The sequence below is a fragment of the Homo sapiens genome, chromosome 16 (genome assembly GCF_000001405.40).
Source record: "Homo sapiens chromosome 16, GRCh38.p14 Primary Assembly".
NCBI lineage: Eukaryota > Metazoa > Chordata > Mammalia > Primates > Hominidae > Homo > Homo sapiens.
The window spans coordinates 11,895,542-11,910,091 of NC_000016.10; the positions used below are offsets into that span (position 1 = coordinate 11,895,542).

Below are 14,550 nucleotides of genomic sequence, written 5' to 3' on the forward strand. Positions count from 1 at the left end.
CAAGAGCAAAAGCAGCTGAAGAACTGTGAACTAGATTCAGGTGCTTTTCCTTTCACTTACAGCAAATGAGGTATGTGCTCCTTTACACCTTTTTTTCCCCACGAGACGGAATCTTGCTCCGTTGCCCAGAGCTGGAGTGCAGTGGTGCGATCTCACCTCACTGCAACCTCCACCTTCTGGGTTCAAGCAATTCTCCTGCCTCAGCCTCCGGAGTAGCTGGGATTACAGGCTCATGCCACCACACCTGGCTAATTTTTGTATTTTTAGTAGAGACGGGGTTTCACCATGTTGGCCAGGCTGGTCTTGAACTCCTGACCTCGTGATGTGCCCGCCTTGGCCTCCCAAAGTGCTGGGATTACAGGCGCCAGCCACAGTGCCCAGCCGCTCCTTTACACTTTCAAAAGAGTTCTTGCTACTAAAAGAAGGGGTACAGTGTTTCATATCTGGGGGGAAGGCAGAGATAGCTGAAATGAAAGACACATAATTCTGTATTTTTTTTCTCACAATTCTGGGGATAGGCCAGATAATTAGAGAATATCTGAGTAAATTAAATAAATTTGTTCTTTTGTTTTTTGCTAAACCAGCAACCTGGCAAGCATCCAGAAGTTACTCCAAATTATTGATTTCCTGCTTCACACAAAATTATCTGGTAAGGTCAATCCCATTAAAATTAACAAGTTAACTGAGGTTCACATAAAAAAGGGCACATTTTCTAAGATACTGATATATAATACTATGCTGAACTACCATCAATGGTCAATAGACTAATTATATGTTACGTACAATATACTGAAGTTTTTCTTCCAGCATCTATGCCGTTACAGAATTATTCATTTGCCTAAACTTCAGGAAAAAAGTACTTGCAATTTTTTGCCAGCTAAAAAAAATCAGCAAGTTAAAAATCAAGACATTTTCAATTAATTTCCTTCAGTTTCACTAAACATCTCCAGGTAGCTAAAAAGGATGTTCTATGTTTTATGTATCCAGTAACTTTAATTGCTATGAGAGCAGCTTACCTACGTGCCCAATGAATACTACATTTACATGCTCTTTCTTAGGAGCACCTGGCGGTGCAACCACAGACTTAGGTTTTGGGATTTCCTCTTCCTCCTCCATCATTTCATGGGCACTTTCCTCTGGCGGCCTTCCATCTCCCAAGGAACCACCCCCTGGCTCTGCTTCACTTATTTCTTCTTTGTGCTCCCATGATTCTTCTGGAGACATTTCTGTCTCTCCATTTTCTACTGAAGAAAGACATTTTAACTTAGTATTCTGAAAAAGACTTACAATCTATACTTTAAAATACACTAGCTTTAAAACAACAAATGGAAGTTTGCATATGTAGTTCCATTTCCTAATGCCTAGTGACACATAAGCAGGAAAACCTCTTTCATAGCAGAAATGGGTGACAGCTTTCAAGGCAGACTCACTGCTGGTATCACATCAGAGGGCACTGACTCACAGGCTGAGATTGCTATTTTAGCAAAGCTTCATTTTCATAATGGCAAACAAAATGCAAACAAGAGTTCTAACATTCCCAACAGCCTAGTTATTCCAGTGTTGAGACACCCTGATAGTAAGAAAAAAAGGAAAGTTTAAAATCGTGACACACGAGAAATATGAAAGGATTTAGGAAATATTTTCTTTTTCCTCTTAAACTAATAAAACTTTGGCATCAACTTTAATCACGCTGAGAACGTGAAACCCTTAAGAATAAAGTTATAAAAAGGAAGAACATTTTTCACCAAGAAAACAGAACGTGTGGCCGAGCATGGTGGCTCACACCTGTAATCCCAGCACTTTCGGAGGCCGAGGTGGGTGGATCACGAGGTCAGGAGTTCGAGACCATCCTGATCAACATGGTGAAACCCCGCCTCTACTAAAAATACAAAAATTTGCCAGTTGTGGTGGTGTGCGCCTGTAATCCCAGCTACTCAAGAAGCTGAGGCAGGAGAAGCGCTTGAACCTGGGAGGCGGAGGTTGCAGTGACCCAAGATTGCACCACTACACTCCAGCCTGGGCGACAGAGCAAGACTCCGTCTCAAAAAAAGAAAACAGAACAGGTACAGGTATTTAAATTGACTTGACCATTCCTCCACTCAATTTTATTTGCAATCATTAAGTTTATCAAGGCAGTGTTAGTGCCTAGTTTGTTCTACTTTCTAAATACTAATAGCAAAGACTCAATGTGTCTTAAATGTAGGCATTACAATAATCGTAACTTACATAATGCACCTTAAATCTTGAGAGTGAAAGAGTTTCATATTACTGTATTAATATGGTCAGAAATTTTCTTACCAATAGGTTCTGAAAGTTCCATGCTAACAGCTGAATTTGAACCTAGACAAGAGATTGAAATATAATATATATTTACCAAACAGTATCTAGCTTTACACACCATATAGACAACCTAATGTTTTCTCAAGTAGACTTTCAAAGAGTACATCATTACCTTCACACAATGACTGTTCCTCTTGAGAGGATTCCACAGGTGCTGTTTAACAGAAAGAAGTTCTATTAAAAATTGATACTTATCCATCCATTTCACTTATCTTTTAATATGCAGTAAAAACAGAAGTTCAATAACACGACACAAGCCTCAATCAATAACCCCAGATCAATGGCAGCTAACTCAGGCCTTCAAGTTAGAAGTCTCTGCTTAACCTACTTTTCAAAATTCTACTAATTACAGCCAATTTTGAAACATTTTCAGTAGTTTCAATGTATTCATAAAAACATGCTTATTCTTTTGATTTGCTTTATAAACCTTTTCTTCACAGATACTGTCAAAGTAATTTGCAGCTCAGCACAGATCAAATTAGAGATGTGCTCAACAAATACACATCTACTTCCCGTGATTCTCTCTAGGTAACCCAGCCCAAGAAAGCTGTGATTAGCCCTTTTTTTTTTTTTTTTTTTTTGAGACTGAGTTTCACTCTTGTTGCCCAGGCTGGAGTTGGAGTGCAATGGCACGATCTTGGCTTACCGCAACCTCCATCTCCCCGGTTCAAGCGATTCTCCTGCCTCAGCCTCCTGAGTACCTGGGATCACAGGTGCATGCCACCATGCCCGGCTAATTTTGTATTTTTAGTAGAGATGGGGTTTCGCCACGTTGGTCAGGCTGGTTTTGAACTACGACCTCAGGTGTTCTGCCCACCTCGGCCTCCCAAAGTGCTGGGATTACAGGCTTGAGCCACCGCATCCAGCCTGTGATTAGCCCTTTTTAATATTCCATACTCATGTTATCAAAATCCCTGAATAAATTAGATACCTATAAGATAAATGACATGTGTATAAAGTCCTGAAACATATATAAGCCATTAAAAATATCTGCAGAAAAGGTGATTCCAATGATGCCAGTTTTTTCCTATACTAGAACTCTAAAACCAAGCAACAATCCAGTTTCCAGTTGCCACACTGCAAATTTACTTATGACATTACTGGAAGAGATGTAGGAGAAATACATACTAATAACCAAATATCTAAGTCTGCTTTTTGGATTTTAGTTTGTCAGATACAGACAAACCTAAATTATACTCCAATATGAACGTGCCCCTGCTTTAAAGAATCTCCACGACAGAAAACGATACTAAAGAATTAAATCATATGAATCATGCACAGCAAGTATGAAAAAATAATGAATTTGTAACCTGTAAAATCATTGCCCGGAAAGGATCAATACCTGTAAGAGTCAAGAGAAAGTGTTTTGGGCCCAACCTTCAATAGCATCAAATGTTGAGTAAAGTAATTTCCTGTCCCTGATAGGTAAAGGACAACCAAATTGTTTTCTTTTTTTTTTTAAGTGACAGGCTCAGACTGTCACTTAGGAAGATCTTTTTCTTGCAGCTTAAACTACATGAACTAGAGTGGGCAAGACCCCACAGGCAGGAAGACCCACATCACCACTGCAAGAAAGCATGCCATGGAGACAACCAAGCAATACAACTAGGAGGGGATGGGGGCTACACCTGACAGGAGTTGGGAGAAAGGGAGAGTAAAAGGTCTAAGATGACCCCAAGCTGTGGGATGAGCAGGACATTAACAAACAGGGGGGAAACGCATTTGAACCTGGTTTGGAAGGAGGCAGAAACTGTACTTCAACACAATACAGATTAACTTTTTTTTGCTTTTCCATTTTCAAGAAAAGTTTAAGGATAAGGTAAGGAAAAATTACTCAGTTTTCAGAGGAAGCCAGGTAGTACTGAGAGTATCAAGTTCACAGGCCACCCTAAGAAGGAGGTGACTGCATGGGGTACTTCTCAGAGCCTGGAACTGAGCTGACTCCTAGGTTTAACTCCTGGCTTATTACAAGCTGTGCCTGCACTTATTCCACTGAAATTGTGGAAATGATATACCATCTACCTGAGAGGATTGTTGAGGAGTTTATGGGAGGAAATGGGAGAATAATTTGTTTAGTGTCAGTTAAAGAACTCCTGGCGTATTCAACAAATGTGTCTCCATCTGCTATGTAACTACTCCAACTCAATCCTATCAATATGTATTGAGTATCAGCCAGGCACGGTGGCTCACACCTGTAATCCCAACACTTTGGGAGGCGGAAGCGGGGGGATCATTTGAGTTCGGGAGTTCAAGACCAACCCGGCCAACATGGCAAAACCCTGTCTCTACTGAAAATACAAAACAATTAGCTGGGTGTGGCATACACCTGTAATCCCAGCTACTCGGGAGGCCAAGGCAGGAGAATCGCTTGAACCCGGGAGGTGGAGGTTGCAGTGAGCCAAGATCACGTCACTGCACTCCAGCTTGGACAAGAATGAAACTCCGTCTCAAAAAAAAAAAAATTAATAAAAATGAATACATATATATATGTATTGAGTATCTATTATGGGCCAGACAAGGATAAAAGTACTCACAAATCCATATTGTGTAGGGAGTGGGGGATGGAGGGGGTAGCAATTTGCTTTAACTAATTTTTATTGAGCCCTAAGTGCCGACTGCTAGCTCATTCCCACCAAAAGCCTTAGGAAACAGATCCTGTAATCACTACCATCTAACATACAGGCACATCAGAATCAACTGCAGGCATTTCCAAGTTATGCAAGTGCCATCTTCCCCTTCCTCAGATAGTCCCTGCTGAAAATCAGTGTACAAGTAAACTAAGCTCTGACGGACACACAGTTATGATGTACTGCGTATCTTAAGGCAGGAAAATGACGGGTGTGGTGGGCTTCCTCACCACTCTCAAGTGTATCACTAACTGTAACAGCTTTTCAAAACAAAACAGTACTTACACCTGACCACTTAGTTCCTGGCACCAACTATTAGATTTACAATACAGATGGCTCCTCAACTTACAATGGATTGTAAGTTGCAAATGGGTTGGGCATGGTGGCTCACACCTGTAGTCCTAAACCTCTGGGAGTCCAAGGTGGGAGGATGGCAAGAGTTTGAGACCAGCCTGGGCAACATGGCAAAACCCCACCTGTACCAAAAAAAGAAAAACAAAAAACAAAAAACAAAAAACTGTCGGGAATGGCGGCATGCGCCTGCAGTCCCAGCTGCTCCGGGGGCTGAGCCTGGGAGGGTCAAGGTTGCAATGAGACCTGACTACACCACTGCACTCCAGCCTGGGCGAGAGAGTGACACCCTGTCTCAAAAAATAAAAATAAAACCGATATATTTCTACCCTATCTTCATACATACACAGTAAACCTTTACTTGTTCATTCTACTCTGGTCTTATTCATGACTCACATAACATCCAGATTTTACTGGCTACTAATGAGCCTGGGCTTAGAATTTTCCGAGGTTGAACTGTTCATGGCTAGGAAATAGATGATTAGGGTGTAATTTCTCACATCCTACATGGTTCACAGCTGCTAGTAAAGGAAGTTAGAACCCTCTCAAGGAATGAAATTACAGTTTCAAATTTTCCAGTGTTATCTCTATGTTTAGAAACACACCTTTATTAACTATTTAAAAATGGAACAATTTTTTCTAAGTGGGAAAGCTTTCAGGGTTTACCACTGAGTGCAACTGCCATGCCCCAAATTACAAGGAAAAACTAAGTTTGAGACCAGCCTGGGCAACATGGTGAAACCCCATCTCCACACACAAAAATATATATATATATATATGAATTAGGCTAGACATGGTGGCTCATGCTTGTAGTCCCAGCTACTCAGGAAACTGAGGCAGGAGAATCGCTTGAGCCCAGGTAGCAGAGGTCGCAGTGAGCCAAGATTGCACCACCGCACTCTAGCCTGGGTGAAAGAGTGAGACCCTGTCTCAAAAAAAAAAGAGGAAAAACTAGGCTGGGCATGGTGGCTCACATCTGTAATCCCAGCACTTCTGGAGGTGGAGGCGGGCGGATCACCTGAGGTCAGGAGTTTGAGACCAGTCTGACTAATATGAGGAAACCCCAACTCTACTAAAAACACAAAAATTTGCCGGGCACGGTGTCTTGTGCCTGTAATCCCAGCTACTTGGGAGGCTGAGGCAGGAAGCTACCCGGGAGGCAGAGGTTGCAGTGAGCTGAGATTGCACCATCGCACTCCAGCCTGGGCAACAAGAGCGAAACTCCATCTTAAAAAAAAAAAAGCCAGGCACGGTGGCTCATGCCTATAATCCCAGCACTTTGGGAGGCCGAGGCGGGTGGATCACAAGGTCAGGAGATCGAGACCATCCTGGCTAACATGGTGAAACCCTGTCTCTACTAAAAATACAAAAAATTAGCCGGGCTTGGTGGCGGGCACCTGTAATCCCAGCTACTCGGGAGGCCAAGGCAGGAGAATGGCATGAACCCGGGAGGTGGAGCTGGCAGTGAGCCGAGATCGCACCACTGCACTCCAGCCTGGGTGACACGACTCTGTCTCAAAAACAGACAGAGCAGGACTCTGTCTCAAAAAAAAAAAAAAAAAAAAAAGAGGCAAAACTAATAGTATAATTTATAATAAAGGAAGATTAATGACTTGACTGTGGTACTTGGTACATTACCACAAATTTTAAAACATGAAGTGAAGACTTTACCAGAGAACAGCAGAACACCAGTACTGCCTGTGATACACATGATAAACTGGAACTGGATCTTTTTTTTTTTTTTAAGAGATGGAGTCTCGCTCTGTCGCCCAGGTTGGAGTGCACTATCGCAGTCTCGGCTCACTGCAACCTCCACCTCCTGGGTTCAAGCGATTCTCCTGCTTTAAGTCCCGAGTAGCTGGGACTATAGGCGTGTGCCACCACACCCAGCTAATTTTTGTAGTTTTAGTAGAGACGGGGGTTTCACGATGTTGCCAGGCTGGTCTCAAACTCCTGACCTCATGTGATCTGCCTGCCTCAGCCTCCCAAAGTCCCGGGATTACAGTCATGAGCCACCACACCTGGCCTTAAATTTTTTATAGAGATGGTGTTTCAATAGGTTCCCCAGACTGGTCTCCAACTCCTGAGCTCAAGCAATCCACCCACCTCAGCCTCCCAAAGTGCTGGGATTACACGTGTGAGCCACCGCGCCCGGCTTCCAAGACATTTTAATCACCCCAAAAGGAAACCCGTATTCATTTAGCAGTTACTGCCCATACTCTCTCCTAGCTTCTGGCAGCCAACAGTATGTCTGTTTTCTGTCTCTGTGGATTTACCTCTTCTGAATACTTCATGTCAATGGAATCATAGAATATGTGGTGTTTGTGTTGCTTCACCATAATCAAATTTTAACTATCAATCCAGTTTCAAGCCAGGCACGGTGGCTCATGACTATAATCCCAGCACTTTGGGAGGCTGAGGCAGACGGACCACATGAGGTCAGGAGTTTGAGACCAGCCTGGCCAACATGGTGAAACCCCGTCTCTACTAAAATACAAGAATTAGCCAGGGTGATGACAGGTGCCTATAATCCCAGATACTCAGGAGGCTGAGCCAGGAGAATCTGGCAATCTTGAACCTGCGAGGCGGAGGTTGCAGTGAGCCGAGATTGCACCACTGCACTCCAGCCTGGGCATAACAGTGAGACTCTGTCTCAAAAAAATTAAATAAAATAAAAATTAGCTGGGTGTGGTAGCACATGTCTGTAGTGCCAGCTACTTGGGAGGCTGAGGTGGGAGGATCACTTGAACCCGGGAGGTGGAGGGAGGCTGCAGTGAACCAAGATCGCACCACTGCACTCCAACCTGGACCACGGTGTGAGACCCTGTCTCCAAAAAAAAGGAAATGTTTTAGAACTACATAGAATTGCTGGTTGTACAACACAGTGTGAATGTACTAAATGCCACTGAATTGTTCACTTTAAAATGGCTTTATTTATTTGTTTGTTAATTGTTTATCAAGACGAACTATTAGCCCACATATTCATGTGTCGTAGTTCAGGAACACGAGTCAGTGACAAACTTCTAGGTAATTCAACCTGAAGAAATTCTTTATATTCCAAGATTACTTTAAACTGAAAGATACCAGCCTTCCTCATCTGCTCAAAATCTCATAATTTCTGCAGAAATCTGCATATGCCTTCTTTCTTGGTTCACCCACACCAAACTCATACAAAGCTGCAACCCCCAGGGACACCATGAATGCTCCAAACATTGAAATCGCAGACGCTTGGCCAGAAGGCCACACATCTGAGGTTTTGGCAACACTTCGGGAGCCATGGTAGTTACTGTCCTTGATACGTATGCCAACCTCAACACCAACATCATTCCTGACTCATTTTATTTTATTTTATTTTATTTATTTATTTTGAGTCTTGCTCTGTTGCCAGGCTGGAGTGCAGTGGTGCAATCTCGGCTTACTGCAACCTCCGACTCCTGGGTTCAAGCGATTCCCCTGCCTCAGCCTCCCGAGTAGCTGGGACTACAGGCGCGCGCCACCACGCCTGGGTAATTTTTTGTATTTTTAGTAGAGATGGGGTTTCACCATGTTGGCCAGGATGGTCTCGATCTCCTGACCTTGTGATCCGCCCGCCTTGGCCTCCTAAAGTGCTGGGATTACAAGCGTGAGCCACTGCGCCCAGCCAGTTTTATGTTATGTGGATTTTGCTTCAATTTTTTAAAAGAGTGTACAATTTTTTTTTAAAGCTATGATCATGGGTCAAAGGACTTGAATATGGAGAATCCTACTTGGCCAGCATATCCTCACAGCATACGTCAGTCAAGGCCACAGACATCATGGCAGGTAAAAAAAAAAAGCTACGTTTTGATTCAAGTTACATGTTTTAAACACAAATGTTTGGCTAAGTCTTAAAAAGTGCTTGATGCATGTATTTCATAAATCAGCAATTTAAATTCATACTGCTTTAGATACAAAACTAATCTTCAAGCCGGGTGTAGTGGCTCATGCCTGTAAAACCAACACTCTGGGAAGCAAGGCAGGAGGATCACTTGAGGCCAGGAGTTTGAGACCAGCCTGGGAAACACAAGGAGACTTCGTCCTTACAAAAAATTTAAAAATCAGCCGGGTATAGTGGCACAGGCCTGTAGTCCCACGCAGGAGAATCACTGGAACCTGGGAGGTGGAGGCTGCAGTGAGCGGTGATCACACCACTGCACTCCAGCCTGGGTGACAGAGTAAGACCCTGTATCAAACAATAACAACAAAACACAGGCATCCTGAGTGAAACTGTAGTTTTGTTAGCCAAATGGGTGTTCATTAAAGAAAAATACAACTTCGGATCTGTCACAGAAGTGTCTCACATTGCATGAAAGTAAGAAATATGTGTGACAAAATTCTGTCCAAGTTTCTGTAGTGATGGAAATGTTTTATATCTGTGCTGTGACATGATAGTCACCAGCCACATGTGGTTATTAAGCGCTGGAAACATGGCTATTATGACTGAGGAATTGAATTTTAAATTTAATTTTAATAAATTTAAATAGCCACATGTGGTTCTCGATTACACTTTGGATAACAGTTCTAGCTCAAGGATTCTCCTTAATTGTAGTACACACTTGCCTACCTAATCCCCCATTTCTATCCCATTCCCTGTCCATCCCCTACCCTGAAGGGCTAATGATCACTCCCCTAGGACATGACACCTCTTTAAATTAGAGGCACACATGGGGACCAGGTGCAGTGGCTCACACCTGTACCTGTAATCCCAGCACTTTGGGAGGCCAAGGCGGGCAGATAACTTGAGGTCAGGAATTTGAGACCAGCCTGGCCAACGTGGTGAAACCCCGTCTCTACTAAAAAATTAAAAATTAGCTGGGTCTGCTGGCACACACCTGTAATCCCAGCTACTCAGGAGGCTGTGGCGGGAGAATGGCTTGAACCGGGGAGGTGGAGGTTGCAGTGAGCTGAGATCACTGAGTCACTGCACTCCAGCCTGGGCGACAAGAGCGAGACTCTGTCTCAAAAATAAGTAAGTAAATAAATAAATAAATTATAGGTACACATGTATCTTAGTTCTTGTTCCCTAGATTGTAGACTTCCAGAATGAACTGTGGGTGGATGACTTTTTTCTCTACTTCAGTAGTCTCAACAAGTTGGCATGATGTATTGTATAGAATAAATACACAATCAATTTTTACTGAATTACTGTGTTTTCCTTTGATTTTCACACTGGTTCCTTCCAGTCACATCACTTCATTTTTTCACTTTTCTTTTTTCTTTTTGAAATGGAGTCTCACTCTGTCGCCCAGGCTGGAGTGCAGTGGCACAATCTGGGCTCACTGCAACCTCCACCTCCTGGGTTCAGGCATGAGCCACCACAACTGGCCTCACTTCCCTTTTCTGACCAGGACCCCTAGCCTCCATCTGTACATTCATTGCATTTCCATTAGGGCTCAAGAGAGTGAAAACAATTTTAAATGTGCCAACTTTCTAAGAAGGGGTTAGGGAAACACTACACTCAGGAGATGTTGGGCCAGCTGTGGTGGTTCCCGCCTATAAACCCAGCACTTTGGGAGGCCAAGCTAAGAGGGTTGCTTGAGGCCAAGAGTTCAAGACCAGCCAGGGCAACACAGTGATGCTCTGTCTCTACAAAAAAAAATGTAAAAATGAGCCAGGCGTGGAGGCATACAACTGTAGTCCCAGCTATTTAGGAGGCTGAGGCAGAAGAATCACTTAAGCCCAGGAGGTTGAGGCCACAGTGAGCTATGATTGTGCCAATGAACTCCAGCCTGGGCAACAATGTGAGACCCTGTCTCAAAAAACAAAATTAAAGAAAGAAAATTTTAAATTAACTATGTGGTTCATACTATATTCCCATTGGATTATGCCAGGGTGGTAACGATAAAAAAGCAAGATTCATTTAACTCAGAAAGAAAATTAGGCTAAGATAATAAATCCAGCAGCCAACAAGTCTTAATAATAGGCACTTATCTGGTAAGATCACATGAGACAATATTTCTTGAATTTTTTTAATGTAAATCCCTCCAACAACAAAGAACGATCCCATCTCTGAACAAAAATTTGCAAGCTGAGGTTTTTCTTTTTTTCTCCTGTAGACAATACTGAAAAACAGTAAAAGCAAACACCAGAAAGAAGTCTACAGAACACATAAAACAATGTGGATGGTTTTGCCTTAATTACCTAACACTCTAAAAATAAAAAGGCTCGGTACAGACAGTGGTGAACAGAGCTGTTTTAAAGTATTTTACATCAACACTTGCTAAAATGTAAAAAGAAGTAATTTCAAAATATTGCTTTAAATCAGAGCACTGCCTACTTATGACAAATGTCATTCTGCTACTACTGAGACAGAACACAGAGAAATGCCATGGTCCAAGCTCACAGGTCCAGTTTCTGGAGAGTCTCAGTCTACTTTAATACAAAATCACAAGGAAAGCACTAGCAGTCACTACTAGAATAAACTTTGAAATGACCTCGATTCCAAGCCTCACTCCTCTCATGGATATGACTGACCTAAGTTATTTAGCTTTACTGAGCCTTTATTTTCTCATCTGTAAAATGGGTCAACAGTACCTAACCTCAAGAGAATGTTGTGAAGACTAAATAACTGATAAGGGGTGGTAAATGCTCAATAAATTTATTACAGCAAGCACTTCAAAGCCCCAAAATAATTTCAAAAACCTTTAAGAATGAAACATTAGGCAAATGCCAGGGCCACTCTCAGAAAACTACACGCTAGTTGTAGTAATTAGCTCCAGGCATGCCCTTCCCGCCCCCTGTTATTAAACAGCATGATGTGGCAGATCAAGCACTAAACTAGCAGGTAGCAAATCTGCATTCTAGACTCAATGGTGTCATTAACTCTGTGAGTGACCTTAGGCATTTACTTAGCATTTCTAAGGCTCCAGTTCCTTTATCTGAAAATGAAGAGGCTGTACAACTGCTAGGGTCGTATCCAGCGCTAACATTCTAAGAACCTCTTTATTCGGACACAAAAGCAATGCCACATTATCAACCTGATCAGACTTTGCATAGAGTAACTAAAATTCCATTATGTTTTTCAAACAACCCTGAAAGACAGTCTTATGAGCTACAACCTAACTACTTCAAAAACAATTTGAGGCCAGGCGCGGTGGCTCACACATGTAATCCCAGCACTTTGGGAGGCTGAAGTGGGCAGATCACTTGAGGTCAGGAGTGCGAGACCAGCCTGGCCAGCATGGCAAAGCCCCGTCTCTACTAAAAATACAAAAATTAGCTGGGGATGGTGGTGCACACGTGTAATCCCAGCTACCTGGGAGGCTGAGGCAGGAGAATCGCTTGAACCAGGAAGGCAGAGGTTGCAGTGAGCCAAGATCGTGCCAGTGCACTCCAGCCTGGGCGACATAGAGAGATTCATCTCAAAAACAAAAAAGAAACAAAAAACCATTTAAATAACATTTAAAATACACAAACCAAAACCATTTCAGATACCCTCAAAAAAGTACAAAAATAACAGAAACAGCCGGGTGCGGTGGCTCACACCTGTAATCCCAGCACTTTGGGAGGCCGAGGTGGGTGGCTCACTTGAGGTCAGTAGCCACCAAGACCATCCTGGCCAACATGGTGAAACCCTGTCTCTACTAAAAATACAAAAATTAGGCCGGGCGCGGTGGCTCACGCCTGTAATCCCAGCACTTTGGGAGGCCGAGGCGGGCGGATCACGAGGTCAGGAGATCGAGACCATCCCGGCTAAAACGGTGAAACCCCGTCTCTACTAAAAATACAAAAAATTAGCCGGGCGTAGTGGCGGGCGCCTGTAGTCCCAGCTACTTGGGAGACTGAGGCGGGAGAATGGCGTGAACCCGGGAGGCGGAGCTTGCAGTGAGCCGAGATCCCGCCACTGCACTCCAGCCTGGGCGACAGAGCGAGACTCCGTCTCAAAAAAAAAAAAAAAAAAAAAAAAAAAAAAAAATACAAAAATTAGCCAGGCATGGCGGTGCGCACCTGTCATCCCAGCTACTCAGGAGACTGAGGCAGGAGAATCGCTTGAACCCGGGAGGTGGAGGTTGCAGTGAGCCGAGATCACGCCATTGCACTGCAGCCGGGGCAACAAAGGGAGACTCCATGTCAAAAATAAAAAAATAACCGAAACATTTTTCTGCTACCAAAATTAACCACCTAAAGGCAATGGACAAGTAGTATGGTAACATACTGGAGTTCTACAGAAATATTCAACCAGGAAATTACCCAGTGACATTCTGCAGAATGCGCTTTTTTTTTTTCAAGTGAAGCGACATACAATTACCTAGTGGGAATGTGGTTTGGAAGTGAGTGTCACCACTGTTAGGTCAGGTGCTCGGGAAAGCCTTATTAAGTGTTCTTCTCTCTTTGAAAGTAGAATTATGATGGGAAACTGGTTCAACTTAGAGTACTGTAACAACTAGGTTTCCTTAGAACAAAGCCATTTACGAAGGAGCCATATAAATCTACAGTCTCGGCTCACTTTGTTAAACTCTACTGAAAACAAGGCAGAAACTTCTAAGCCTTGAAATGAATCAACAATCAACAGCTAAAAACTGTCAGTTTTCTTGATTGTTCTGAGGACCTCAGATCCTTCAACTAGTAGCCAAATTCTTGTCTCCCGAAGATATTTTAAAACCAAGGGTAGAATGATGAAATTCTAAACATGCCCCAATAGACACACTAGCCAGACTCATAGTAACTGAACTCACTGCTGTTTAATACGAAATAGACAAGTACTGTAAAAAGATAACCAGTGCTCTACCTTCAGCACTCTCGACAAACTTAAAAATACAAAACTTGGCCAGGCACAGTGGCTCTCGCCTGTAATCCCAGCATTTTGGGAGGCCGAGACGGGTGGATCACTTGAGGTCAAGAGTTCGAGACCAGCCTGGGCAACATGGTGAAACCTCATCTCTACTAAAAATACAAAAATTAGCTGGGCGTGGTGGCGGGCACCTGTAATCTCAGCTACTTGGGAAGCTGAGGCAGAACAATCGCTTGAACCTGGGGAGGCAGAGGTTACGGTGAGCCGAGTTAGGGCCACTGCACTCCAGCCTGTGACAGAGCGAAACTCCATCTCAAAAAACAAAAACAAACAAAAAAACTTAGCCAGGCGTCATGGTGGGTGCCTATAGTCCTAGCTACTCAGGAAGCTGAGGTGAAAGATCACTTGAGCCCAGGGATTTGAAGTTACGATGAGCTATAATCACACAATTATACTCCAGCTTGGGTGACAAAGTAAGATCCC

General features: G+C 43.2%; 1 protein-coding gene and 1 pseudogene across 6 annotated transcripts in view; both read right to left on the reverse strand.

The window, feature by feature from the left end:
• Nucleotides 1-14,550, reverse strand: part of GSPT1 (G1 to S phase transition 1) — a 48,527-nt gene that overhangs the window by 27,414 nt on the left and 6,563 nt on the right. For 4 of the 6 annotated variants that reach the window (NM_001130007.2, NM_002094.4, XM_047434034.1 and 1 more), the window contains exons 2-4: nucleotides 2,453-2,494; nucleotides 2,299-2,340; nucleotides 1,017-1,244 (exon numbers count right to left, since the gene is read on the reverse strand). In NM_001130007.2, the coding sequence (NP_001123479.1) occupies nucleotides 1,017-1,244; nucleotides 2,299-2,320 (250 nt within the window). In that variant the 5' untranslated portion in view covers nucleotides 2,321-2,340; nucleotides 2,453-2,494. The remainder of the gene's footprint in view (nucleotides 1-1,016; nucleotides 1,245-2,298; nucleotides 2,341-2,452; nucleotides 2,495-14,550) is intronic. The other 2 variants (NM_001130006.2, XM_047434035.1) reach the window with 1 other exon arrangement.
• On the reverse strand, nucleotides 8,212-8,652 carry COX6CP1 (cytochrome c oxidase subunit 6C pseudogene 1; annotated as a pseudogene).